This window comes from Homo sapiens, chromosome 1 (genome assembly GCF_000001405.40).
Source record: "Homo sapiens chromosome 1, GRCh38.p14 Primary Assembly".
Classification (NCBI taxonomy): domain Eukaryota; kingdom Metazoa; phylum Chordata; class Mammalia; order Primates; family Hominidae; genus Homo; species Homo sapiens.
The window spans coordinates 26450863-26477910 of record NC_000001.11 but is presented as its reverse complement, the minus strand read 5'-3'; the positions used below and the strand labels follow the sequence as shown (position 1 = coordinate 26477910).

At 46.1% G+C, this 27048-nt stretch overlaps 2 protein-coding genes, 1 long non-coding RNA gene and 1 pseudogene across 23 annotated transcripts in view, besides 6 other annotated features; 2 read left to right on the top strand and 2 right to left on the bottom strand.

Moving 5' to 3' along the window:
- Positions 1-1268: 1268 nt before the first annotated feature.
- On the bottom strand, positions 1269-5471 carry HMGN2 (high mobility group nucleosomal binding domain 2). Its single transcript, NM_005517.4, has 6 exons — positions 5284-5471; positions 4384-4428; positions 4179-4208; positions 3776-3826; positions 3244-3339; positions 1269-2798 (listed from the first exon to the last, which is right to left on the bottom strand). Exons 1-6 carry the CDS (start codon positions 5296-5298, stop codon positions 2763-2765), a joined length of 273 nt encoding a protein of 90 aa, NP_005508.1. The 5' UTR covers positions 5299-5471; the 3' UTR covers positions 1269-2762.
- Positions 4747-4916: a silencer, noted in NCBI's record as "silent region_479". NCBI's record gives its function as "represses an Ori minimal core promoter by ATAC-STARR-seq in GM12878 lymphoblastoid cells {active_cell/tissue: GM12878}" and the evidence as "EXISTENCE:reporter gene assay evidence [ECO:0000049][PMID:35858748]".
- Positions 4957-5246: a silencer, noted in NCBI's record as "silent region_478". NCBI's record gives its function as "represses an Ori minimal core promoter by ATAC-STARR-seq in GM12878 lymphoblastoid cells {active_cell/tissue: GM12878}" and the evidence as "EXISTENCE:reporter gene assay evidence [ECO:0000049][PMID:35858748]".
- Positions 5446-6155: an enhancer, noted in NCBI's record as "NANOG-H3K27ac-H3K4me1 hESC enhancer chr1:26798247-26798956 (GRCh37/hg19 assembly coordinates)". NCBI's record gives its function as "activates a minimal SCP1, AML or CMV promoter by ChIP-STARR-seq in naive H9 embryonic stem cells {active_cell/tissue: H9 hESC(naive)}" and the evidence as "EXISTENCE:reporter gene assay evidence [ECO:0000049][PMID:30033119]".
- Positions 5507-5776: a silencer, noted in NCBI's record as "silent region_477". NCBI's record gives its function as "represses an Ori minimal core promoter by ATAC-STARR-seq in GM12878 lymphoblastoid cells {active_cell/tissue: GM12878}" and the evidence as "EXISTENCE:reporter gene assay evidence [ECO:0000049][PMID:35858748]".
- Positions 5661-6076: a silencer, noted in NCBI's record as "fragment chr1:26798326-26798741 (GRCh37/hg19 assembly coordinates)". NCBI's record gives its function as "represses an EF-1alpha promoter that drives an FKBP-Casp9 reporter gene in an ReSE screen in HepG2 liver carcinoma cells {active_cell/tissue: HepG2}" and the evidence as "EXISTENCE:reporter gene assay evidence [ECO:0000049][PMID:32094911]".
- Positions 6156-6864: an enhancer, noted in NCBI's record as "H3K4me1 hESC enhancer chr1:26797538-26798246 (GRCh37/hg19 assembly coordinates)". NCBI's record gives its function as "activates a minimal SCP1, AML or CMV promoter by ChIP-STARR-seq in naive H9 embryonic stem cells {active_cell/tissue: H9 hESC(naive)}" and the evidence as "EXISTENCE:reporter gene assay evidence [ECO:0000049][PMID:30033119]".
- The window catches only part of DHDDS (dehydrodolichyl diphosphate synthase subunit), a 38986-nt gene continuing 18542 nt past the window's right edge, over positions 6605-27048 (bottom strand). For 11 of the 20 annotated variants that reach the window (XM_047430853.1, XM_047430863.1, XM_047430856.1 and 8 more), the window contains 3 exons: positions 20006-20120; positions 17767-17874; positions 6605-9016 (listed from right to left, as the gene is read on the bottom strand). In XM_047430853.1, coding sequence (XP_047286809.1) covers positions 8780-9016; positions 17767-17874; positions 20006-20120 — 460 coding nt within the window. In that variant the 3' untranslated portion in view covers positions 6605-8779. Of the gene's footprint in view, positions 9020-17766; positions 17875-20005; positions 20121-27048 lie in introns of all 20 variants that reach the window. The other 9 variants (XM_047430849.1, XM_047430859.1, XM_047430851.1 and 6 more) reach the window with 1 other exon arrangement.
- On the top strand, positions 10374-15155 carry DHDDS-AS1 (DHDDS antisense RNA 1). Of its 2 annotated transcripts, NR_125952.1 has the most exons (4): positions 10374-10863; positions 11587-11707; positions 14478-14535; positions 15041-15155. It is a non-coding gene; the product is annotated as a DHDDS antisense RNA 1 (long non-coding RNA). The 2 variants fall into 2 exon arrangements; NR_125953.1 differs by lacking the exon at positions 11587-11707.
- Positions 22704-23315, top strand: RPL17P9 (ribosomal protein L17 pseudogene 9; annotated as a pseudogene).

Here is a 27048-nt window from a genome sequence, read left to right as displayed (position 1 = left end):
CTCTATTGAATTCCAACAATTCTGACTGGTCTAGGCAGATTCTGTGGTTTCATTCCTCTTGCTATGATTGGTTTAGGAGTGGAGAGGCAATCCAGATCTGCCCAGTGAAACACAGGCTGCTGGGGTGCTTGTAGGAAATATTTCATTCTTCTTAAATGCAGGGAAAAAAGGAGCAGTCCTCCAGCCTCTTGCCATTGGTATGGCAAATTACGATGTCTGGAGCAACTGCCTTGAAGGTGAGGTGGCTGGAGAACATGTTGAGGGCGGCAGAGCAGAAAGACAGGAAGCCCACCTGGGTCCTCACAACTGCCCGACCTCGGGACTTGTATCAGATGAATCCTCTAGTTTGTGCCATTTATGTTACTTTTTTTTTTTTTTTACTTAGAGCCCAAGCATCTGGTGACTTTTCCCGAGATCTTAAGAATGGGCCTGGAGACAGGGCTGGCACTGAGCATGCTACCATGGCTGTCTTAGTGAATGGTCCTTACCACGTTTTGATGTCTGGTTTGGTTTTAGGCCCAGCTACTTTCATGGTCCAGAGCCAGTCAAATCAGTATTTTCCAGGAAGGAAAAAAAGAAAAAAACTCGAAAAAGTTCAAGCTTACCCTACTCATCCTAATTATATGGCAACAAGAAGAGGGCCAGAAAATAAGTAAAAACAGACTATCAAGTTTAACCTCAGCCAGTCGCTTCACATCTGAGCCTCACTCTCGACTACAAAATGGGGCTACACCTGTATCTCATAGGTCTGACTCAAAGATTAAAGAGCATGAGGCAGAGCTGTTAGCATAGCCCAGGGCTTAGCAGACTTGCCACTAACAAAGAACCTCAGCTGTAACTTTCTCAAATTCTGCAACCTCTGCTCAAATACCAGCCCACTACCCCTGACCATTCTAAGATGTCTCTTAAGTTTCCTCTGGAAGAGGACACCGCTTTTAGAATAAAAATTACCCGTCTACAACCTAGAATGAATGACTTCAGCAATAATGAAAGTAAATGGCTGGTAACTGGCTAAATGGACAAATGGTATTTTATCCTGAATAAAAGTCTGTCAGAGATGACTTTTGTCTAGTTGAGGGTCTGAATCCTGACTCTGCTGCTCATTAAATGTACACATAACCTTCAACAAGTTTCATCTGTGCCTGATTCCTCATCCATGAGTGTGATACATATATTACACAAACATCTCAACACTTGAGAGATAATACACAAAAAACCTCAAGAACTTAACAGCGATACTTTTTTGACTAAGGGAATGGACAAAGCAATTAGTCTCCAATTTACTTTATTCCTGTCCAACAATACAGCCAGGTCTGTGAAAGCAAATTCAAGGTGCAAACATGAATTTGTTACCAGTTCCATATTCTAACAAATAACTTCTTGCCATTTCACTTAGAGAAACGTGGGGTTCTCTGCATCTCCAAACTAAAGGAATCAGGAAAGACCCCATTGTCTTTGTTTGCAGGTCTACTTAGGAGCAAAGTGTCATCTACCTTACAAATGGACAACTGTGTACACATTCACAGAGACACTCTCTGACATGAGTCTATTAATTTGCTAATTTTATAGAAGTTGCAAATGCAGATGGAAGTAGAGAGGCTCCTGTCAGCTACCCAGCCAAAACCGCAGATCTACCAAAAATCTGCATTTAATACACTTCATGTATTCGGAGTCATGCAAAAAACAAACACTGCAGGGAATGCTGCATAACCAAGTACAGAAATCACTCCATACTCCCAGCCTTTCACCATCAGCTAAGTCTACTCCTGGAATCCTTCCTAACTGCACCTAGCACTGTGTGTTTTGGAAGCTGACTATAAATCAGTGAAAGATCATCATTAGACTGTACATGGAGTACCTCAAAGCAGAACGTACCCTGTTCCAAGAGACTTGGATAAACCAGGTTACCCCACTTGTGGGAAAAGATCAGAGGCAGCATTCCAAGCCAAACTGTATCCAGCTTTATTAAAGATACTTTCCATAAACAATCATGGTATTTCAGGCAGGACATGGGCAGACAATCGTTAACAGTATACAACAACTTTCAAACTCCCTTCTTCAATGGACTACCAAAAATCAGAAAGCCACTATAAAACCCAATGAAGTCTTCATCTGATGCTCTGAACAGGGAAAGTTTAGAGTGAGGGTTGACATTTCACATTTAGCATGTTGTTTAACAACTTTTCACAAGCCGACCCTGACTTTCAGGAAGTGAAATGAAAATGGCAGAATTTATCTGAAGATCCACAATCTAGAAATGGAACCACTGCTCTTTTGACAGGTGCCATCTCAGTGGCATCACTGGAAAGTCCAGATTGCCTGACACACTGGTAACCAATGACTAGGGGTCAGGTCTCAACAGATGTCTGGGCTTAAGGGAGTTAAGTCTATGCTGAACGATGGAAAGGGAGAAGAGGACATAAAAACAAATTTGTTTTTCTATACCACAAGGCTTTTGTGCCAAGGTGGCCATGTGTGTCAAAGTCAGGGAATCCCTCCTCCTGGGAGCCAAGAGGAAGTCTCTCAAAACTAGAAGGGAAAGGTGTTTTCTCCACATCAATCCAGCTTTGGAGACATTCTATTAGTGACATATGCCCCTTCCCCCAAAAACAACAATGAAGTGTTCTGTGTGCTAACAACATAGCTTTTAAAAAAAAAAAAAAAGTAAAACAAAATTCTGCATTTTTATAAAACTTGATAAAAAATAGTATTTCAAACTGTACAGTCACCAGAAGTACACAGTTATCAAAAATGCACACACTTCACTTGGCATCTCCAGCACCTTCAGCTTTCTGTGCCTAAAAGAAAACAGACAAATTAATGCAATGCGTAGATTTCAAAACTATCTGTGTTCACATTCCACCTACAGCATCACTTTGCTCCCAGGCCAAAGTTCAGGTTTCAGGTACTGAGACTCAGTATTTCTTCTGAGAATGACTTACTAGGTAACTTTGCTAAGTCACCTCTCCTCTGGGCCTCACTGTAAAATTGAGGTAGGAAGAACACCAGAATAAGAGACCTGAGGTTACTCCTAGCTTGAAAACTTCATGTAGTATAAAACACAATGCCCTTCAGCTGACAGTAGAGATTTCAAGAATCCAGGATTTAAGTTAACAGGAAAGCCACAAGCACACTGGACCAAATGGTACATTTGGAGTGATACAAGAAAAGGGCAATTAAATTTTTGATATCAGCAACTAACTGAATGAACAAATCTAACAAAGGGTGAAACAGCAGTTATACCTGGTCTGTTTTGGCATCTCCATTTTCTGCAGGGTTATTCCCCTCCTTGCCAGCATCAGCTTTTCCCTTTTTCCCTTTGGGTACCTTCTCTCCCTTCTGAAAAAGGGGAAAAAATAGAACTGTTTCTCCCCATTTCGTATTACCAAGGTATGGTCTGCAAAGTTCTGCACAAGGTAGGATTGTTTACTCAAGATAAAACACAAACCCTCACCCATTTGACAAGAACAACTGATCAAAACTAGGCTAAATTATCTGTAATTTGCTATAATCTTTAGTACTTAGAATTTCCTAAGTAACAGAAGAATAAATTAGTTTAAACCCTGGGGTATTTAATATTTAAATGCAGATTTTCCTATAAACTAACAACAGAATTCTTGATCAGGAAACCAACGTTATGAATGACACGGACGAGGTAAGCTATCCACACAGTTTATAACCTCCATTAATGGAGGCACCATTATGCTAATTAAGTTAAGGCACTAAGGACAGTCCTCATTCTGTGAAAATGATCAGTTCCAATGTTAGCACTTACCTTTGCAGGGGCCTTTTTAGGCTTGGGCTCTGGCTTTGGAGGAGCAGGTTTCTTTTTTTGGCAGGAAGAGAGGAAAAAGTGAACATCAGTACAATGGACTGAAGAAAACCACCCACAACCAACCAAAAGTACCAAGGGTAGAGAAGTTTCTCCTCCTCCTCAAAAGTTTTTGTGGTTGGCTTTCTTCTAGAATGTTGGATTTCCAGAAGCCCACTCAAATGTCCCACTTTGGCTACAGGCATCAGAATTTCAGAACCAGCAAAACCCAAAGGGGCAAGAGTCCCAAGTAGAGGCAATGATTCAAAACCAGGCACTAACCATAATTCATGGAAGCAAAGGGAATTGTTTTTTGATGTTTTTTAGTTTCAGGGACAAGCACGAAAATTCAAAAGCATACACTTACAGCAGACAACCTCGCGGATCTTCTCTGTGGCTATTAAAGACAACGAGAAAGTTAGAAATAGGACAGGTAAGTCGCTTTGAAAGTTTGGTATCAATTTGCTCTAGATTATAGGAGTGTAAATTCAGGACACAGGTTACGGTTAATCACCGAGTCCAGTGGCCTCTGCTAGTCCAAGGCTTTGACCCTTGAAGAGAGAATGACTTACTTCGTCCTTCACCTTTGCTTTATCTCCCTTAGCATCCCCTTCAGCCTATAAGAAACAAGAACAAAAAACTGCAGATTTTGAGGTGGTTCTTAATTACTTCCCAAACTTTAGAGTGCTAAAAATGAAAATTAAAGCAGTCGTCCACACAACTTTTCTAGGACATAAATGAGTGAGCCCGACGTTCGTATAAGAACGAAGCGCGCGCAGGAGCTCCGGCTCGCCGACCCCGAGAAGCGAGGGCTGGACCGGAGCGCAGCCGGGGAGGGCAGCGGAGCCCGCACCACCGCGACAGGCAGGAGCAACAGCTGCAGATGGCGCAAACAAACCCCCTCCGGAGGCGGAGCCCAGCGCCGTTGCTATGGCAGCCGTCGAGGGCGGGAGAGGGAGGCGCGCGCAGCCCGGGGAACTCGTGGGCGGCGACAGCGCGCGTCTCGTGCGCGGGGAACGTGGGCGAGGGGGCGGGGCCATACCGCACAAGCCCCGCCCCTCACGGCGGCGGTTTTTTGGCGGCAGCGCTTTCCCCCGCCCGCCAACCCCGAGCGCCGCCTTCCCGCCCTTTCGGGTTTGAATTGCCCGCCCGCAGGGAGGGGAGGGAAGGGGCCCTCGCGATGGGGGAGGGGGCACGGGGCGGGGGCGGCGAGCCCGAGGAGAGCGGGATAAACAGCCGCCAACATGGCTCCTCCCGCCGCGGCCGCCGCTCCTCCAATATGGCCTCTGGCGCCCGCGGGCAGCCGAGCCGCTCAGGGTTAGCCCCGAGCTGCCCGACACCGTCTCCAGCCCCCGCGCGGGGAGGCTGCGCTGGCTCCTGCTCGGCGCCGATTCTCGCTCCCTGCACCAGGGAGGCGGCGGCGGCGGTGGCGGCAGTGGTGGCCCGGCGCCTGGGGCCCTCGCGCCACGTACCTTTCTCTTGGGCATGGTGGCGGCGGCGACGGCAGCGGGACGTAGGTGCTGGACGCGGGATGCAGCGGCGCGCGGGCTTTGGTCGGTCCGGGGGTCGTTCTCGCCTCTTCTTCACACTGCTCGGGCTCCGGGGGGTTTATAAAGTTTTTATAGCGCTGGGAGCCCCGGACCGGTTAGAACCGGATTTCACCTCCCGCCGCCGTTCATTGGCCCAGCTGGGGTCACGTGGGCGGGGTTTAAACTCACCTCCTCTGGAGGGAGTGAGGAGGGGGGTGTGTGGGGGGGGTAGTGCGCGGAGACGGCGGCGCGCCGAGGGGGTGGGGGCGCAGTCGGGGTGGCGCGCGTCGAAGGCAGTAAATGAGGAGGGGTGCGCGAGTCGGCGGGCTCCGGGTTCCGGCTCCCGCCAAGAGCTGTCTTTTGCAAACTAGCAAGTTCCTTCCACCTTATGCAACCCAGCAACCCACTTCTCCAAGCCGTGCGACACTCACGGCGCATCTCAGCGGCTTTCCTTCCTGCTCCCGCTGGGGGCCCCAGAAGAGGGGTTTGCGAGGCCTGGCTGCACTGCCCTGCTCCTCTGGAAGCAGGAGGAAGCGCGCGGCTGGAGGCACAGGCTGCAGTTCCCAGAGCCCAGGCTGACGCCAAAGTGGGAAAAAGGCGGGGAAACCAGCTTGGCGCAGCCGGACGTGCATCCTTCCGAGCTGCCACTTCGGAGAAGCCTTTCGTGCACCTCACCTGAAAGACGGTCCCACTCGAGGTGGGCTAGGGGTTTCAGGGGGAGACTTTCCATGCAGAGGTGCCTTTTGGGTGCCGTGGGTCAGGTAGGAGCTGTCCTTTCAGCACCCGTTGCGCAGCCGCCTCCCCAAATGCTATCGAAGCCCCCACCCCCAACTCCTCTCGGGTGGCTCCCTTAAGGTCCCTGTATTCCCAAACCTCCAGACCCCGCCACAGTATGGTGGAGAGCGGCCGTCGAGGTCTACCAGCACTCACTTCCCCCTACACTCTACCCCTCTCGGAGACATTTTGCCCAGCTGCCCAACCCGACGCGGCCACCAAGCCTGGGCACTGCAGCCGCAGCTGGCGAAATCCCTCCTTCCACACTGTCAAGCTGGCTGCCTTTCACTTGCGCGAGGAAAGGAGGGTGGAGGAAAGCGCCCGGGGATTAGGAAACAAGTAGAGGAACAGGTGGTGTGATGGCAAAAGGGCTCTTCCGGTGCCCCCTAGTCCAAAGCCAGGGTCTTGGAGCTAGCCAAGTGCACCTGAGGGAGGGTAGGCAATTGCAGCAGCAAAAGAAGGTGTTCTTCCGTTGCAGTTAGCAAACAAGTTTTACATCTAAGAATCTTTAAAAATTCTATTTGAGACCCAGCACACAAGAATACGATAGATGTCCTCAAATGGGGGCTTGGCTCACAGGTGGAAGGACACTAAATTGGTCCCATCTGATTTCTTGAGGCAAGGGTTGAACCTGGCTTGCACAAATCACACCTGTCCAAAGCAACCACGAGTTCTACTATTTTGCAGCCCTTGCTGCTGGGCGACGACGACGACCTCTCTGCCTCTTCTTTCCACCACTACATCGCCTCCTGGGGCAGCTTCTCCCTACTCCACCCTGTGTACCTTTCCCAGAATACAGAACCTCAGGCCAAAGAGAGATGCCAGCCCCATTAATCACCTCTACTGTACCCCAATCATATTACGGAAAGTCAGACCCAGGAGACAGGACTCAACAGCCACGCTCATAGGGCAGATTCCGTTTGCTGCCTCCAGCCCCTCATTCCCGCCTTAATTGTAGGGCTCTGCATTATAGCCGCATAATTCATGCCTCCCTAATTATGGCTGTCAACAGCCCCATTGTAAAGCTGTAAAATGTACAGCACCTGCTCTCCAGGAACCCTGTGCCAGGGATTGGTAGAGGGGAGTGCCAGGTGTGGATGGGGGCTTTGCCAAAGGGTTCACTGATTGGCTTCTCAATCGCCGTGTCTGGCATTTATGCTTGATTCTGGGAGCATGGACAATAGCCAAGAAGTCTCTTGCCGCCAGGTATCCCGGGACAGAAAGGGGAAGAGGCGGGTGGGGTATAGGAAAGTTAGGGGTTTCCTGTGTGCTCTTGCTACAACTTGCAAGATTTCACCTCTCCCCTAGAGGGAGCTGCTAGGGAAACAGCTTGCAGAAAGTAAAATGGGAAGTCTGGCATGGTGGCTCATGCCTGTAATCCCAGCACTTTGGGAGGGTGAGGCCGGCGGATCACCTGAGGTCAGGAGTTCGAGACCAGCCAGGACAGGGTGAGATGCTGTCTCCAAAAAAAAAAAAAAAAAGAAGAAGGAAAATGGACTTTAAAGAGAGTAGCATTTGGTTGGTGTTGCTGGCTGGTACTTGCCGGTGTGGGGCACCTGAAATAGAGTTGCTCAGGCAGACAGCTCTTCAAAGGCACTAATCCTCTCAGCAGCTCTGCAGCAAGTCCTGGCAGAGGGAGGTAAGGGAAAGGACACAGCTTTGACCCTCACAAGCAGAGGACCTAGAACAAGCTTTGCCATGCCAAGAATAAATCATCTAGGGCCTACTTAGGGAGCCAGGTCAAAAAGCTGAGAGAAACCTCGAAGAGTGGAGTGGGAATCAGAGTTTGAGATGGTGAGGGCAGGGAGCAGAGTCAGTTGGAAGAAGTGTTTGGTTCTGCTCAGTCCTGTTGTGTTACAGGGGAGGCCTGTGCTGGATTCAGTTCACCAGGGCCTACAGGCCCTTCTGTTACCCTGAACCATGGAGGGGGCCAGTCTCATTTGGGAGTGGAGCCTGGCCCCATGCCCTGCAAGAGGAGGAGAAAAGCTTGTGTGGGCTGAGTCGACAATAGGTAATTGGATTGTAATCGCCCGCCTGGCTTCCGCGCACCATTGGGGGTGCTGAGTCTTTCAGTGAGCAATCAGTACTGTGTGGTGGGAGAGGGTAGAGATTCAATAGCAAATCCCAGGTGGAGAGCCAAGGGGGAGGAGCAGCAGATGGGCAAATTTTCTGTCTCTCCCACCCCTTTTTTCCTTACCCAAATAACTGCCTGCCTATTAGTTATTTACTAGCAGATCCAAGGTAGAGCCAAATCTTTTGTGGAAGCTGGGTGGAAGGCTAAAATGGAAGGGTAAAGAGCTAGGGTTTTGGGGAGAACTCTTCCCTGAAATTCTGTGTGTTGAAGGATGTGCTGGTGGAAAAAGAAAGTGCATCTAAGAGACAGGCAGCTGATGAGTTGTGGCCCTTTGCTCTCCAAACCCTATTGGTGACCAGACCTAGGTTTAGTGTACTCGTGGGAGACTTTCACCCTCAATCCTCCTCAGGAGCCTGTCCCAGGCAGCCCAAAGGTATCTATGGCCAGCAAACCTGGCCTGGGGGGCTCCCCAGCCAAGCAAAGGGAACACCATTCATTATCAGGAAAGGAGGTGCCTTTCACCAAGAAAAGGAAGGGGAGTGGAGCCCTGGAGGCAGAGGGCAGGGCAAAGTGGCAGGTGGCCAGCCTCATTCAGGCTGATGCAGTGCCCAGACGGGCCAGCCAGTCAGCTCGCTTGAGTTCCAAGGCCTGCAGGAAGCCTTGGACTCGCTCTTCCCGTCTGGCCGAGAGTTTGTGCAAGCGTGTCCTTCGGAGCTGGGCGTCCCCACTGGCTTGGAGCCCCTCTCGCAGCAGCTGCTCTGTCACTGTAGCCTGGTCCCTCTCCAGCTGCTGCCTCTTCCGCTCCTCTGCATACATGTCTCGGGCCTTCTGCTAGAGAAAAGTGGGGATTGGGGTGGGGAGATCATTTTTAGGAGTGGGTGAAACTGGGATGGAGGAGGTAGGGGGTGGGGCACAGGGTGGGCCAAGTGAAGTGGAACAGTGGAAAGTAGGTACCAGATTTGAAAAGGCTTGGGAGTAGGTATGCAGTGGGTGGTGCTCATGTTGTACAGGCAGGGCAGTGGCAATTCTGGGTCCATCTTGGTTTGTTTTGTGTGGAAGCGTCTGTACTTCTTAAAGTTTTTCTCATGCTCTTGGAACCAAACAAATGTGGGTCTGACTTCTGATTCCCCCATCAACTGGCTTTGTGTCTTTGGGCAAATCCTGTCCTAACCTCATTTCTTCATCTGTAAAGTGGGGGTTGTGCCTACCTTGAAGAGTGGTTTTAAGGATTAGAGATAACATATGCAAAATCCTCTCTAGGATATTAGCAGGCTCTTAGACAGAAACAGCAATTTTACAAGTTGTTATTGTCTATTCTCCGCTGCAAGAAAGGTCCTATTCTTGTCGGGGACATGTCCCTTGGGTCACTTCCTTTGATCTCCCCAGGTTTTCCTCTGAGGGTACCATCCTCCCCACTCCCTAGGCTATTTTTCAGAGCTCCAGACTTGCCTCCTGTATGAAGACCAGCCTGATCCTTCCAGCAAATGACCCCCCTATGAACATTCTGAGAAGCAGGTTCAACTCTCTTAAGCCACTTATTGCATTCTGCATAGTAGAATAAGTGTTAGTGTTCACAATCCACTCTTTCTGTTAGAAAATAAGCCCTTGGAAGTTTGAGAGCCTTCAAGCCTCTTGCAACCAGCTCTGACACCAGGTGGTGATCATACTCCCTGGCAGCAGTTATCATCCCAAGTACTAGAGGGCAGAGACTGGGCTTCTTCCTCTCCAGCACTTGGGGTGCCCTGTACATGTGAAACACTCAACTGACTGACCACGTGATCCCAGGAGAGCAGTGAGGATGCTCCTGATACAGAAGAGCGGAAAATCCCTTTGGAGCAGAACCAAGGCTTTCCTGTGCCTCACTGATCCTCTCTGTTCCTGCCAGTCTAACTGACCTGCAAAGCCTTTGCACTAGAGCTCCTCCTGCCAAACCTATTCCATGTGTGAGAAACTCTATTTTCCTATGGTATCCTATACCCTGATGACCCTTCCCACATTCTACCTTGTATTACGATAAACTTGTATACATGTTTTTGTCCTAATCAGCCTGTAAGCACCTTGACTGCTCTGTCTTCATGGTTTAAAGAATATCTTACATGTGCACAACCACTTCATCTGTTGCCTCACTTGACCCTCACAATGGAGCTGTGAGGGAGGTACTTTCTGCTGGAGACAGACATGGAGCAGGGAACTGATTTGCTGTCTCTCAGCAATAAAGGTTTACTGCATGAATAAGGATGACAAATGAGAATTCTGGACTGTCCCCCCCGGCTCCTGAATAATCCCAGGCATTCAAGAATACTTCTCTTCTGCTATTACAATGAATTACATGTGGAGCTATGAGGACTTCGGGCTTGAACAGTTGCCGTAGAGCTCTCCGTCTTGCTGGAAGGGCTTCTTCCAGGCCTTGGTCAGGAGGCTCCCTGGGTGCTACATACAGGATTTTTTTTGAGGATATGGAGATGCGCAGGACACGATCCCAGCAATCCAGGTGCTTACAGGCTGATTGTACAGCCATGCACACAGAGTGCCACGATGCAAAATAGGATGTGGTAAGGGTCATGCAGTTCAGAGGAGAAAGCAAGTGTGGCTGATGAACATCACGGAGCAGTGACCTTCATGGACAGACAGAATTTGAGCTGGCCCTTTAACCAATGAGGAGGATTCAAACAGAGGTGAGGTGTGTGGGGGGCAGGGAGAATATTCTGGCAGTGGGAGTAATGAGCAAAGATGCATGGAACCGAAGAGCCTGTTAAGGCCAGAGTAAGTCCACCTGGAGCACTGGGGTTTGAGAAGTTCCTAAGGCCTCCCTCACCTCTCTAAGGCTCTCTCTTACTCTGCAAAACCGGGATAAGAGTACCCACCTCACTGGGTTGTTTGAGGAAAAATGAGATAATGAATTTTCAGCCTACTGCTTGGCTATTAACTGTTAGCTGTTCTATCACCGCCACTTGTGGACTGGGCTAAGTAGTCTAAGTTTCTGGCAGAACAGAAAGGATGGGGGACGCTCAGCAACAGAGGGAGGAAATATGGAGCTAGCTAAAGCCACTTCATGAGGCGCAAGCTTCTTCCAGATGGCATCAGAGTGCATGCCAGCAATGGGGGCTGTAGCCCAGGCAGAGCCTGGCCCCTGTCTGCCAGGAATTAGCAGTTCATTGTTCAGATAGCAGAGTTGGGAGGGTGTCTGCTCGTCATTTTACAGAAAATGACAGCGAGGCTGAGATGGCTGAAGTTCCCTTGGCTTCTCCACTAAGATAACTTCTTGAGAGGACAATGTGAAGTGTATCTCGTGCCTGTGTATAAGCTCTACTTTCTAGGGGTGGAAAAGCTGGTGGCCTGTATCTGGATACCTGTCTATCCAGCTTCCACATGGTCTGAATCTACCCTTTCAATCTCAGAGGTGTTTCCAGTTCTTCTCAAGTACTTACCCTTGGGAAATCCAAGCTAACAGAAGTCCTAGAGGTCAACTTTTCTCTCCCTGACCATTTGTCTACTATCCTTGTATAATGACCAATCAGGGTAAGTGAGGGCGTTAATTCTTTCCTTAGAGACTTTTTGTACAGACCTTATCCAATCTTGGTGCAAGGGCTCCAAGAAGCTCACTTTGAGAAATGTGGTTCTAACCTATGAATCTAAATTCCTCCTGGGCATTATCCCTCTCTGCTCTTATTCTCTCCTTGGTAGAATCAGAGAACAAGATGTAATAGTCCCTCCAGTACTTAAATCTAAAAGTCCTCTACCACTCTGTTGGCACCTGGAGAGAGGCTGCAGGTCCTTGGCTTCAAAACATTAGCCAATGAAAAGTCCTTCCCCAAGCTGCAACCAGCCAGCCCAGGTCAGCAGCATGAGGAATGCATTTCTGAGGGCTGCTCTCAGGCAGAGAAGGGCACCTCCTACCAGAAACATGATGTTCTGAAGCACCCTCAGAGTCTCCTTGCCTGGGGAGTTGTACTGGGGACAGGATGTGCAGGGTGCTTTTCCAGAGAGGAGTCTGAGGAGAGGCCAAGAGACACACATGTGGGGAACAATATTGGCCACCATTCTTGGAAAATGAACTCTGTTCCAGCCACTGCACTCAGCACTTGACATGTGTTAGCTTACTGAATCCCTATCACAAACCTGCAAGGTAGGTATTACTGTAAACGCTACTTCTCTCATTTTACAGGTGAGGAAAATGATACTCTGAGGGGTTAAGTAACTGTACAGTCATATAGCTATGTAGGCAGTGCCAATATTCAAAGTCATGAATGTCTGAGACATTAACTCAAGCTTTTAGGCTAAGGTGGGAGGCTCGCTTGAGCCCAGCTGCTCAAGACCAGCCTGGGCAACATGGCGAGACCCCATTTCCACATGCATACATATATGCATACATACATAACTCAAGCTTTTATCCTGAGGAGAAGATAGTGACAACCTGAAGAGCAGAAGAAATATAATGTTCAATCCAGCCCGTTTAAATTGTGACAAATGTACTACAGGAAGCTTCGTGGGAACATGTGTCTTTTCCCTCTCTAATATCATCCTTGGAGATGAGGTGAACACTTTTTACTCATCTCCATCAGTGACCTCTCAAGGACCTACCATCCATGCAACTTGTGATTGAGGATCAGCTGCTCTGCACTGCCGCACACCCCCTCCCTGGCCTGATTCTCTATTTGTCCCTGCCTCTTTGCTGACAAGTCCTACTGCATCATAGTCAAGATCTCCCTTTGCCAGCCTTTAAGACTGGCTAGGTGACCACCTGGAGACTGTCATGGTCCATTCAGATACCAAGGTCTGGCTCCCCACAACTTGTAGCCAAGTCCCTGCTTCCCTTACGATCCACCCGCTGCCTTCCTCTCAGTAAGCTACTCTAGGTCCAGAGCCTAGCCCCTTGCCCTGGCTTCCTGCAGAGAATAGGGACACATTGGGCAGGGCCTAGAGACAGAGCAGCTCAGATTTTAAAATGGGAATTTGGGTGATGGGGCAAGAGCACAGACATACAGGTAGGAAACTGGAGGGCATGGAACAGGTAACTGGGAAGAGTCCAGTTTGGCCATGATACAGGGTCTGTAAAAGGGAGACATGAGAAAAGCCTGGAAAGACCTCTCTGGTCTGAGAACAAACTGGTGAGGATGCTGTTAGTCTGGATTCTCCCCTTAGTGCATCTGCCAAGGTGATATGATTTCTAGAAACAGAGCTTTGAAGCTTCTGGGGTAGAGAAAGCCTGGCCAGGACCTCCAAGGGCTCCTGCTGGAGAAGGCTTCAAGATAATCAGTATCTCTATTATAACTTTGGATTCCTTGCTCTAAAAACAGAGGCAATAATAATAGTATCTGCCTTAAAGCAGTTCACAGAATTTACTGAAAGGATGCCTGACATGTGGTAAGAACTCAATACTGGAAGGATGCCTGACATGTGGTAAGAACTCAATAAAAGTTTGCAAATATAGGCCGGGCGCAGCGGCTCATGCCTGTAATCCTAGCACTTTCGGAGGCCAAGGTGGGTGGATCACCTGAGGTCAGGATTTTGAGACCAGCCTGGCCAACATGGTGAAACCCTGTCTCTACTAAAAATACAAAAATTAGTTGTGCGTGGTGGCACGTGCCTGTAGTCCCAGCTACATGGGAGGCTGAGGCAGGAGAATTGCTTGAATCCGGGAGGCAGAGGTTGCAGTGAGCCGAGATCATGCCACTGTTCTCCAGCGACAGAGTGAGATTCCGTCTCAAAAAAAAAAAAAAAAAAAAAAAAGTTTGCAAATATGATCCATAGGTAAAAATGGAACACTTAATAGTTGACCTCAAACACCTTCCACCCCATCCCAGGAAACAGCAGAACTATACAACCAATTGCTATGGCCACAACCTAAGTGTCTTGGTTCCTAATAACATTATTATTTGTACTTATTTGTTTTAGCCTACAAGAAACAAGAGTTTCAGGCCGGTCGCGGTGGTTCACGCCTGTAATCCCAGCACTTTGGGAGGCCGAGGCGGGCAGATCACCTGAGGTCGGGGGTTTGAGACCAGCCTGACCAACATGGAGAAACCCCATCTCTACTAAAAATATAAAATTAGCCAGATGTGGTGGCACATGCCTGTAATCCCAGCCACTTGGGAGGCTGAGGCAGGAGAATCGCTTGAACCTGGGAGGCGGAGGTTGCAGTGAGCCGAGATCACGCCATTGCACTCCAGCCTGGGCAACAAGAGCGAAACTCCATTTCAAAAAAAAAGAAACAAGAGTTTCATAATTACATTACCAACATTGCCACTAACAATAAACCTCTTAAGTAATGTTTAATTTTGTGTTGCAGTTTGTATTATCCTGAAAAGAAATTCCACTAAAGATGAATAGCAGAGAACTGTGTTCAGGTAAGCTGAATTAATTCCTTTCTCTGGGGAGTTATATTATCACCTTGATATAGCTAGTTTCACTTGTTTCTATTTCAACATTTGTTTTTATCCCGTCTTCACTCCTCCCCTTCCCTACTGCCACCACCCTACCTCGAGGCGCATCCTCTCTCACCTGGACTACTGCAGGAGTTCTGTCTCTTGGCTTTAACTCCAGCCCGTTGAAAATTCTGAATGATTTTTACAAAATGCAACTCAGATCCCGTCATCCCCTGATTAAAGTCCTTCAGCTTTGTTACCATGACCTACAAGGCTCTATATGAGCCAAGGTCTGACTCTAGCCTCATTTCCTGCCCTTCTCCCTTGGCACATTGACCTCTTTTTTGTTCTTCCAAGACCCAAACTTTAACCTCAGTCTCTTTGCATTCTCTTCATTACTTTCTAGCACATCACTCTGTATTCTTCACTGCCTTATTACAATCGGAACTTATATATTTGTTTACTTGTTTATTTCTGTCTCCTCAAGAATACAAGTTCCACAAAGGTAGAGATCTTGTCCCTCTGGCTACCTGTTGACTCTCCTGTGCCTAATACAGTGCCTGATTCATACTACTCAATAAATACTTATGGAATGAATGAAACTTGAGTTAACTCCTCTGACAACCATATGCAAAGTATCTGAGAAACGTGAAATTACTATAAAAGACTTCTGAGCAGCCCAATTAGAGGTAAAAACACAAAAACTCATGCACCAAGCTCCTTTGGGCTTCATGCAGAGCCAGTTCACTCTCATTTTATATACATAATTCCAACAAGCTTGACTATCTGGTTTCCTTGTCTATAGCTGATTTAAAACAGTAAATACTATGGAAGAGGAGAGATACTGTCAAAATTAACTGTTGACAGCAGTAGGAAATGAAAGAGGGAGGACACAGAAAAATATACATGAAACCTCAAACCCAGGTATTCTGGGACCATCTAACTTAGAGCAAACAGCCCTACCCCTCAAGGATATTGTTGTACAATGAAGTGTTTAAAGATGATAATTACTATTATCATAATCATTAGAATATGACGGCCAGGCATGGTGGCTCATGTCTATAATCCTAGCACCTGGGGAGGCCGAAGCAGGAGGATCACTTGAGCTTAAGAGTTCAAGACCAGCCTGGGCAACATAGTGAGGACTTATCTCTACAAAAAATAACAAAAATCAGCCAGGCATGGTGGTGTGTGCCCATAGTCCTAGCTACTTGGGAGGCTGAAGTAAGCCAAAGTTGCACAACTGCACTCCAGCCTGGGCAACAGAGTGAGACCCTGCTAAAAAAAAAAAAAAACAAAAAATAGCACGTGATTATCCTAATCATCATCATTATTAGCAAGTGCCTGGTATATAGATTTCAATGAATTATGTACAAGATACATTTTAGAAATTTTTCCATCAAAAAAGGGTAAAGTTTTAGTTTTTAGAGGGAGCTTTGGTCATATGGAAAAATCTGATATTCATTCCCCACTGACAGTGGATAATTGTGCCTTTGCTGTTTTTCTTTTCACTAATTCTAAACTTCTTTTAATTTCCTCATATTCTGAGACTAAGTAATTAAATACATGATCAAGTCTTTGTGATTTGATTTACTTATAGCAGGAGTTATGGACTTGGGATTCAGGGGCAGATTTCAGCAGTTATGTGAACCCCCTTAAAGTATTCTATGTGTGGCCGGGCTTGGTGGCTCATGCCTGTAATCCCATCACTTTGGGAAGCCAAGGCGGGCGGATCACCTGAGGTAAAGAGTTCAAGACCAGCCTGACCAACATGGAGAAACCCCATCTCTATTAAAAATACAAAATTAGTTGGGATTGGTGGCGCATGCCTGTAATCCCAGCTACTCGGGAGGGTGAGGCAGGAGAATCACTTGAACCCGGGAGGCGGAGGTTTCGGTGAGCCGAGATTGCGCCATTGCACTCCAGCCTGGGCCGCAAGAGCGAAACTCCGTCTCAAAAAAAAAAAAAAAAAAAGTATTCTATGTGTTTCCATGATAAGTTTACAATTCTATGCAAAATTCCACATTTGAGTGATCTGCGATTTTTCTAGGGAGATGGTCTGTGGCTTTCATTAGATTATTCAAAGGGACCCCAATACCAAGGAGATTAAGAATCCCTGACTCACATCATTATTTCCTCCTGGCATTATCTCTCCAGACTGAAGAAGCAGCACCAGCTTTGATTTTAAAATTCAGGCTCTTCACGCCTGTAATCCCAGCACTTTGGGAGGCCAAGGTGGGCGGATCACCTGAGGTCAGGAGTTCAAGACCAGCCTGGCCAACATGGTGAAACACTGTCTCTACTGAAAATACAAAAATTAGCCAGGCATGGTGGCGTGTGCCTGTAATCCCAGCTAGTTGGGAGGCTGAGACAGGAGAATCGTTCAAACCCAGGAGGGGGAGGTTGCAGTGAGCCCAGATCGCACCACTGCACTCCGGCCTGGGCAACAAGAGCAAAACCCCATCTCAAAATAAATAAATAAATAAAGATAAAATTCAGGTTCCTTGGGACAGTTACTTAAGTCTCTCTGCCCCTCTGGTTCCATATATGAAAAATGAGGACACCAAAACTGCTGGGTTGTTAGGTTAAATAAGAAAACTTACATGAAATCACCTAAGTGCCCTCGTAGATCCTCATATGTTAGCTACCACTACCATTATTATAAAGAGACCTAATCATATACAGGTGACTGCTAATAAAACCTGTTTCAAGATTTGGTGATGAAAACTGAAAGTCAAACTTCAAGTCTTGACACAACATAGGTTTACACAATGGAAAGACAATGCTATTTAGTTCTTAATCCCTACTGCTACGATCTTTTATTAGGGTAATACTTTAAAGGAATAATGGCCAGTTTCTCTGAGAAGCCTTTTCCTCCTGAGTCTTTAAAAGATAAAAGACCTGTAGCTCAAATCCTATTCCTACCTCTTACTGATTATGTGTCCTTAACTAAATCATTTCTGTTTGCTTACTTACATAAGGGAGGGGCTAATAAGACTTCCCTCATTGGGTTCTTGGGAACATTAAATGAGTTGCAGCATGTAAAATGTTCGCAGTGCCTGACAAGTAGTAGATACTCAGTAGGTGGTAGCTACTATCATCATTATCATCATCTTATTAGGAAGTGCCTGGTATATAGTAAGGTGGTTGTCAATCAATGCTAATCTTTTCTTCCATCCCATCCCATCTGGCCAGCCCTGAACTCTTTCTTACCTGAAGCACGCTATGGTTCATCTGGAACTGCAGGATGGCCTCGAAGAGGTTCCAAAATGTATACTCTGGCCACAGAACGGGTTGGAACACCAGGCAGGAGTGAGAGGTCTGGGAAAGGTAGGGAGGAGAGTATGATTTAGTAACATGTTGCTGGGCCGCATCCCTGGTCAGTCCTCCAGGGAAAAAGCAGGCTAAGCAGGACCCAGAAGCCCAGAGATGACAATGTTACAGGCATCCTGAGCTGTAGCTGCAGCTGCTGCTGGCCCTGATTCATTCACTAGTAGGGGGAGGCGTCACTTGAGGCAGCCAGATCACCTGCCTGTGGTAAAGCAGAACTAAAACGAGACTAGATCAACATTTCCACCAGGATTTTTCTAAGAGCCAATTTTAGGACTATGAAATAACATCTGGATTATGTTATTGGCTCTTGGCCCTTAGAGGGCATCTGGAAGACATACTGTCTGATAAAGGTCACCAATGAACAAATGGTAGCTGCCATTGTTATTTTTAAGTACCAGCAGCAGGGCACAGTGGTTGAGAGCATGAGCTCTGGAGCCAGACTGCCTGGCTTTGAATTTTGGCTCCAACCATTTACCATTTATTTGAGCAGGGGTAATTTCACCTGGCCTGAGATTCCTCAAATGTAAAACTGGATAATAGGAATACCTAATTTTCAGGGTACTGTTTAGATTAAATGAGATAACATATGCATAGCAAAGAGCCAGGTGTACTTTAATAATAATCACTGATGAAGAATCCCCTTTGGAACACTCTTGACAGCCACTGCCTGATATCTCTAGTGGTGAGGAATTCAGTACCTCATGGGGGATAACTAGTTGTCCGATAGCCTGTTTGGCTTTTTATGCTAAACCAATGTCACCTTCCCTACAACTTCTACTAAGGTCCCAGGTATTTTTTCTGGAACAAGTTTGTTTCTTCTTCAAAGTGACATTCTTTCAAGTATTTCAAGGCTAGATTAGAGCTGCCTGTTATCAGTTCCCAAAGTTGTAATGACTTGTTCAGAGTTTGTCTTTGCTAGCAAACTATAAGTTTCAAGACAGTAGGGATCATTTCTGACTCACTCACTGCCATATTTCCAGCATAAAGAAGGAACTCAACACTTTTTTCCAAGGGAATACATTGTCACTTATTTCCCTTTTGCAGACCACTATCCTTTCCTCATTTTTTGTAAGACATGAGATTCCTTGCTTTCCAGTTTGGCCTCTTCCAGTAAGTCCTCAAGTTTGTCAATGTAACTAATTCTGTACACTGAGTAACTGACTCTGTAGTCTCTTAAAATTCAGCCCATCAGTAAACTTCCCAAACGTGATCTGAGCAGCACAGTGGGCCACAGAACCAATAGGTGCACATTGTACTTATTTCTTTTCTTTTTTTTTTTTTTTTTTTGCGACAGAGTCTCACTCTGTTGCCCAGGCTGGAGTGCAGTGGCACGATCTCGCCTCACTGCAACCTCTGCCTCCTAGGTTCAAGTGATTCTCCCACCTCATTCACCTAAGTAGCTGGGACTACAGGCACCTGCCACCATGCCAGGCTAATTTCTGTATTTTTAGTAGAGACAGGGGTTCACCATGTTGGCTGGACTGGTCTCAAACTCCTGACCTCAAGTGATCTGCCTGCCTCAGCCTCCCAAAGTGCTAGGATTACAGGCGTGAGCCACCACGCCCTGCGTTAGCTCACTTTTAAGATTGTGGTCCATTAAAATTTCTGGAGCTTTATCATGTGAGCTGCTTCCAAATGGAGTCTCTCCCAGAACAAGGACTTCCCCTAGTTATGTGCTCTCCAGGGACCAAGTTAACAGGGGATAGAGACTTGAGTGTTTGCATATTGTTTACCATGCTTGCATAGGTATGGCCCTTTATCCTGAAGGGGAGGGACTAGTAACTGCAAGGCAAGCTTCCAACCCAGAGGGGCTAGGGTCCCTGGCAGGTTACCAAGGCAAGAGCTTACGCTCAGGGATGCAAGACAGAAGTCCCATTCCTTGAAAAGCGGCACAATGAAGTTTTCACTATAGTTGGATTCGCAAAGCCAGCGACAGATGAGGAATGGACATCAAATATTATGAGACACAGCCTAGAGATGCTTCTCCAGATTTTAGCTTTCCCCAGAAGTACTCTGGCCCCAGCCTGTTTGGGAGTGGGGATGGACCACTCTGATCCATTCTGTGGATACAGTTGGTTTCCCCATGACACAAACATAATAGTACTTGGAAATGACCTACCTGCCATAGCAAGAAGTCACTCAGCCGCACTTCTCCAGAAGTCCGTATCAAGATGTCAGGATGAGGAGAGCGGTTGGTATAGAGGCACTTATCAAGCAGAGACTCAGAGATATCACTAAGATGAGCAAGAAGAGACAAAGAGAGGCACACATCCTGTAGTATTCTCTTTCTGTAGTGTTCTCATGGTGAACTTCCATATATAGGCTTCTCAGTTTATACAATACCATCAAATACACTAGCCAATACTACACAGAAGGCCCTCAAAAAATGTTTGCTAAATTAATGAATGAATTTAAATCTTCACAACTACATAAGGTATTTCTTTTTTTTTTTTTTTTTTAGAGAATACAATGTAAAATTCTTTTCTCTTTTTTATTTTTTGCCTTTTTTGACATGTTCTGATACATAAGGTATTTATTTATTTATTTATTTATTTGAGATAGAGTCTCACACTGTTCCCCAGGCTGGAGTGCAGTGGCACGATCTCGGCTCACTGCAAACTCTGCCTCCCAGGTTCATGCCATTCTGCCTCAGCCTCCCGAGTAGCTGGGACTACAGGTGCCCGCCACCACACCCTGCTAATTTGTTTTTTTTTTTTTTTGTATTTTTAGTAGAGACAGGGTTTCACCATGTTAGCCAGGATGGACTCGATCTCCTGACCTCGTGATCCGCCCCCCCCTCGGCCTCTGAAAGTGCTGGGATTACAGGCATGAGCCACCATGCTCAGCAGATACATAAGGTATTTCTATCCTCATTTTATAGATAAGGAAACTGAGGCTCAAAGATGAATAATTTGCTGAAAGTCATTTAGCCTCAGGCCTAAAACCAGATGCACCCACAAAAATATCTGTTGTCTTTTGCTAAAAACATCTTGTTTTTTAAAATACATACATACATCCTATGGCCCAGTATTTGATGAAATACTATGCAACTGCATTCTAAAAATAAAGATAAATCTAAATGCACTGATTTGGAAAGATGTCCAAAATCTAATGTTAAATGTAAAAGGCAAGTTTCAGAGAATATATAGTATAAAACATACACACACATTCAAACATTCACACGTGCATATAAGTATACATAAAGAACAAAGTCTAAAAAGATACATCATACTATTAACAGTGGATTGGATAAGAAGTAAGGAAGAAAAGACTATTTCTTTTTACTTTATGTACTTCTGTTATTGTTTGAATTTATGTAAATAACTTTTTTTGGCCAGGCGTGGTGACTCATGCCTGTAATCCCAGTACTTTGGGAGGCTGAGGCAGGCAGATCACCTGCGATCAGGAGTTTGAGACCAGCCTGGCCAACAAGGTGAAACCCCATCTCTACCAAAAGTACAAAAATTAGCTGGGTGTGGTGCCGCATGCCTGTAGTCCCAGCTACTTGGGAGGCTGAAGCAGGAGAATCGCTTGAACCCAGGAGGTGGAGGTTACAGTAAGCCCAGATTATGCCACTGAACTCCAGCCTGAGTGACAGAGCGAGGCTCTGTCTCAAAACAAAAAAAAACAGAAAACATATTTTATTTTTTTTCCAGACAGGGTCTCCCTCTGTTGCCCAGACTGGAGTGCAGTGGTGTGATCTCAGCTCACTGCAACCTCCACCTTCCATGCTCAAGCAATCCTCCTACCTCAGCTTCCCAAGTAGCTAGGACCACAGGTGTGCAACACCATGCTCAGCTAATTTATTTTTAAAATCTTATTTAAGTCATATGGATCCTGAAACATTGCAAAAATTCCACATTACACCGGATTTTAAATAAACAGCAATATGATCAGTTCTCCTGTGTTTGATAAGAGCTACTTTCCCAAGCACAGAGATGGTCAGAAAGGAGATAGAATTGAAGAAAACTGGTGAGTGGAAGCATTTATCTTAAGTAAAACTATCCTGTCCACAGAAAGAGGGTATTTGCATGGCTGGTGTCTGTTGGCTCCAAGAATGCTGTTTACCTGTCCTACCAACTACCCAGAAGCAGAATTCAGAATGTCCAGGTAGTTAGAGTTACATCTTGGAAAGGGTCCAGAAGACAAAAATTTCTTGGTGGGAACATGTTTCTGGACGCATGGTCAGGAAAGCAGAAAGATCTGGGCTGAGTGTTCAAAACCAGACTCTACACTTACTAGTTGTGTGTCTTTAGGCAAGTTATTCATCTTTTTTTTGGAGATGGAGTCTTGCGCTGTCACCCAGGCTGGAGTGCAGTGGCGCAATCTTGGCTCCCGCAACCTCCACCTCTCGGGTTCAAGTGATTCTCTTGCCTCAGCCTCCCAAGTAGCTGGGACTACAGGCAGCCACCACCACACCCGGCTAATTTTTGTACTTTGAGTAAAGACGGGGTTTTACCATGTTGGCCAGGCTGGTCTTGAATTCCTGAGCTCAAGTGATCTGCCTGCCTCGGCCTCCCAAAGTGCTGGGATTACAGGTGTGAGCCACTGCACCCAGCCAAGTTGCTCATCTCTCTCAGTCCTTTAAGGCAAACCACAGAGAGAGCTTTCTTTTCCGTATCATCATCACAGAGGAAACAGTATTCACTTATAATTGAGCAATAAGAAGGGCTCTGGTTCAGATTTCTCTGGTAATCTGACAATCTTGTCTTGGCAGCATGGTCTTAATTCTCCAAGTTATGTGAGACTCTGTACAATCCATATAATTTCTCATTCTCTTATCTTTAAAATGGGCCCATTTGCTCTTTCCCTAAGCGGCCTGAGGTAATCTGTGAAAATGGTTCACTATTCACTTAACCCGGAGAACCTCATGATATCATGCAAATCAAGAGGTTCCAATCTTCGTGTTTACTTTAAGAATATTCGTGAAACTGCCCAGGCCATCAAGGGTATGCATATACGAAAAGCCATGAAGTACCTGAAAGATGTCACTTTACAGAAACAGTGCGTACCATTCCGACGTTACAATGGTGGAGCTGGCAGGTGTGCCCAGGCCAAGCAGTGGGGCTGGACACAAGGTCAGTGGCCCAAAAAGAGTGCTGAATTTTTGCTGCACATGCTTAAAAATGCAGAGAGTAATGCTGAACTTAAGGGTTTAAATGTAGATTCTCTGGTCATTGAGCATATCCAAGTGAACAAAGCACCTAAGATGTGCCGCTGGACCTACAGAGCTCATGGTTGGATTAACCCATCCATGAGCTCTCCCTGCCACATTGAGATGATCCTTACTGAAAAGGAACAGATTGTTCCTAAACCAGAAGAGGAGGTTGCCCAGAAGAAAATGATATCCCAAAGAAACTGAAGAAACAAAAACTTATGGCACAGGAGTAAATTCAGCATTAAAATAAATGTAATTAAAAGGGAAAAAAAAAAACAGGGCCCATTTGTCCTATCCACCTTATAGGTTATCATGAGGGTCAAATCAAATGAAATAATAGATTTGAGTGCACTTTGGGAACTATAAAGTGCTATATAAAGAATAATAATAAAAAATTATTTTCAGTCCCACCAACTTGCAGTGTGACTTCAGAGACTCAGTCTCTCTGAGTTTACAATTTATCTGCAAAGAGTTTCTTCTACCTACTTTAGGCAGTAGGTATGCAGTAAGAATTCTGCAGTGGGCAGAATTCTTAATGGAAAAAGCTGATATTGTGCCAGTGCATTCCAGCCTGAGTGATACAGCAGACTGTGTCTCAAAAAAACAAAGGGGTTGGCCAGGCGCGGTGGCTCACGCCTGTAATCCCAGCACTTTGGGAGGCCGAGGCGGGCAGATCATGAGGTCAGGAGGTCGAGACCATCCTGGCTAACACGATGAAACCCTGTCTCTACTAAAAATACAAAAAATTAGCCGGGCGTGGTGGTGGGCGCCTGTAGTCCCAGCTACTCGGGAGGCTGAGGCAGGAGAATGGCGTGAACCCGGGAGGCGGAGCTTGTAGTGAGCCGAGATTGCACCACTGCACTCCAGCCTGGGTGACAGAGCAAGACTCCATCTCAAAAACAAAAAAAAAGGGGTTAACTCTAGGGTGGAAAGATGAAACTGACAAAATCAAAATGGAACATCTGTAGACTTTGGCCAACAAAAATCCATCACTAAATGGAATGGTGAGTTAAAGCTGTCTACGTGAAGACTTTTCGGAAATGATTTACATTAAATAACGGTAAAATATCAGTTTTTACCTATGAGAATAGGTTTATTTTTTTGTTTTATTTTTTGAGACAGGATCTGGCTGTTACCCAGACTGGAGTGCAGTGATGTGATCTTGGCTCACTGCAGCCTCAGCCTCCTGGGCTCAAGCCATCCTTCCACCTCAGCCTCCCAAGTAGCTGTGACTATAGGTGCATGCCACCACACTCAGGTAATTTTTGTACTTTTAGAGACGAGATTTTACCATTTTGCCCAGGCTGGTCTCGAACTTATGAGCTCAAGCGATCCAACCTGCCTCAGCCACCTAAAGTGCTGGATTACAGGTATGAGCCACTGCACCTGGTCAGAACAGTTTACATTTAAAAAATCTTGGCAAGAATAAGGTGAAATGAGCACTTTCAAACTCAGATCCTGAGGAAACAATAAAAAATGCAGGCAAGTTCAGTCAAAGATTTAATTGTGGCATTATTTGTAATAATGAAATATTAAACTGCCTATATACCCAACAAATAGAAGACTGGTTAAAGAAATTAACACAAGATATATTTTACAGCCATTATAAATAATGATATGAAGAATTATTAAAAACACGGGTCATGAAAAGTACTCGTAACATTGAATGATAAAAGCATGATTCAGAGTGTAAACTATTCATTATGTGATTTCATGTGTTATAAATATTTATGTCAAAAGTGAGTGTGTGTGTGTGTGTGTGTGTGTGTGTGTTTCAGACAGGGTTTCACTCTGTTGTTCAGGCTAGAGAGCAATGGCGCAACCATAGCTCATTGCAGCCTCGACCTGCTAGGCTCAAGTAATCCTCCTCACTCAGCCTCCCAAGTAGCTACAGGTGTGTGCCAGCACACCCAGCTAACTGTTTTATTTTTGTAGAGACAGGGTCTTGCCGTGTTGCCAGGGCTGGTCTCAAACTCCAGGGCTCAAGCGATTTTCCTGCCTCAGCCTCCCAAAGTCCTGGGATTACAGGCATAAGTCACCATGTCCATCTAATTTTTTTCTTTTTTACTGCCTTATTGTTCATTTCAGCTTTGCTATGAGGAAGTCAATATGCCACAGTGAATGAGAACACAGGCTCTGAAGCCAGGTTGAAATCTTGGCCCCCAGGTTTGCCAACTATGTGAACTTGCACAAGTTACTTTTCCTCTCCATGTCTCAGTATTCTCATCTTTAAAATGGGCATAAAAACAGTATCTACCTTATAGGGTCTAAGGATAAATGTATGTGGAATACTTAATGCTTGGAACAGAGTAAATGCTCAGTAAGTGTTAGCAATTACTATTAACACTATTGTTTTATAAGAAAGACAGAGGCCTACAGGGAATCAAGTAGCCCGTTCAAGGTAACACGGTGGAATAGAATTTATTAACTATCCTTTGGTCTCAATCTACTTCCTTCTTCTATAATTTCCAGACTCACAAAACAATCTATTAATTTAACTGCTAAAAAAATACATATATACCTCGGTCAGGTGCCGTGGTTCAAACCTGTAATCCCAGCACTTTGGGAGGCCAAGGCAGGAGGATCACTTGAGCCCAGGAGTTTGAGACCAGCCTGGACAACATGGCAAGACCCTGTCTCTACAAAGTCAAAAAATTAGCCAGATGTGGTAGCAGTATCTGTGGTCCCAGATACTCAGGAAGCTGAGGTGGAAGGATCTCTTGAGCCCAGGAGGTCTAGGCTGCAGTGAGCCATGTTCATACCACTGCACTTCAGCCTCAGCAACAGAGTGAAACCCTGTCTCAAAAACAAAACGAAACAGGCCAGGTGCTATGGCTCACACCTATAATCCCAGGACTTTGGGAGGCCAAGGTGGGCAGATCACTTGAGGTCAGGAGTTCGAGATCAGCCTGGTCAACATGGTGAAATCCCATCTCTACTAAATATACAAAAAATAGCCGGGTGTGATCCCAGCACTTTGGGAGGCCGAGGCAGGCAGATCACGAGGTCAGGAGATCGAGACCATCCTGGCTAACATGGTGAAACCCGTCTCTACTAAAAATATAAAAAAATTAGCCAGGCGGGGTGGCAGGCGCCTGTAGTCCCAGTTACTCAGGAGGCTGAGGCAGGAGAATGGCGTGAACCCGGGAGGCAGAGGTTGTAGTGAGCTGAGATTGTGCCACTGCACTCCAGCCTGGGCGACAGAGCGAGACTCTGTCTCAAAAAAAAAAAAAAAGAAAAAAAAATAGCCGGGTGTGGTGGTGTGCACCTATAATCCTGGCTACTCAGGAGGCTGAAGCACGAAAACTGCTTGAACCTATAAGGTGGAGGTTGCAGTGAGTTGAGAGCGTGCCACTGCACTTCACCCTGGGCAACAGAGCAAGACTCCATCTCAGAAAAACAAAAAAACAAAAATACACACACACACACACACACACACACACACACACACACACACACACATCTACATACATACCCTGGAAGAAAGAAAAATGAGGAGTTGGATGGTGATAGTGAGAAATCAGGAAAATTCCAGCTATTAGAAGCATAGGACCTAATTGTAATTAACGCACTGACTTTGTTATAAATGCAGGTTTGTCTAAATTCGAATAATATAAAGTGTAACGCCTCAGGCCCTGATTAGCCCAGTCTGAGCACACCAAGCTTCAGGAGTTGGTGGGTTGAGACATTGGCCTCCTGACCCTGGTGATACTGCCCAACCCACACCCTGTCTGCATAACTAACCCCACAGAGGCAAGTTACTAAACCATGCAGGACAGAGAAGGATATGGAAAAACTTGCTGGACAAGAAGCAGGAGATAAGGTAGTGGTTACTGTAATGTGGTATGAGGGTAAAGCATGCTGGACTAGGAGTCAAGATCAGAGTCCTAGGCATAATGCATATTAGATCTGCTTGTCAAATGGCTTTCTTTCATTCTAGTGTCAACCCTTGTGCCTTAATATTTATTTCATACATACAAGAATATTTGAAACATATTCATTAT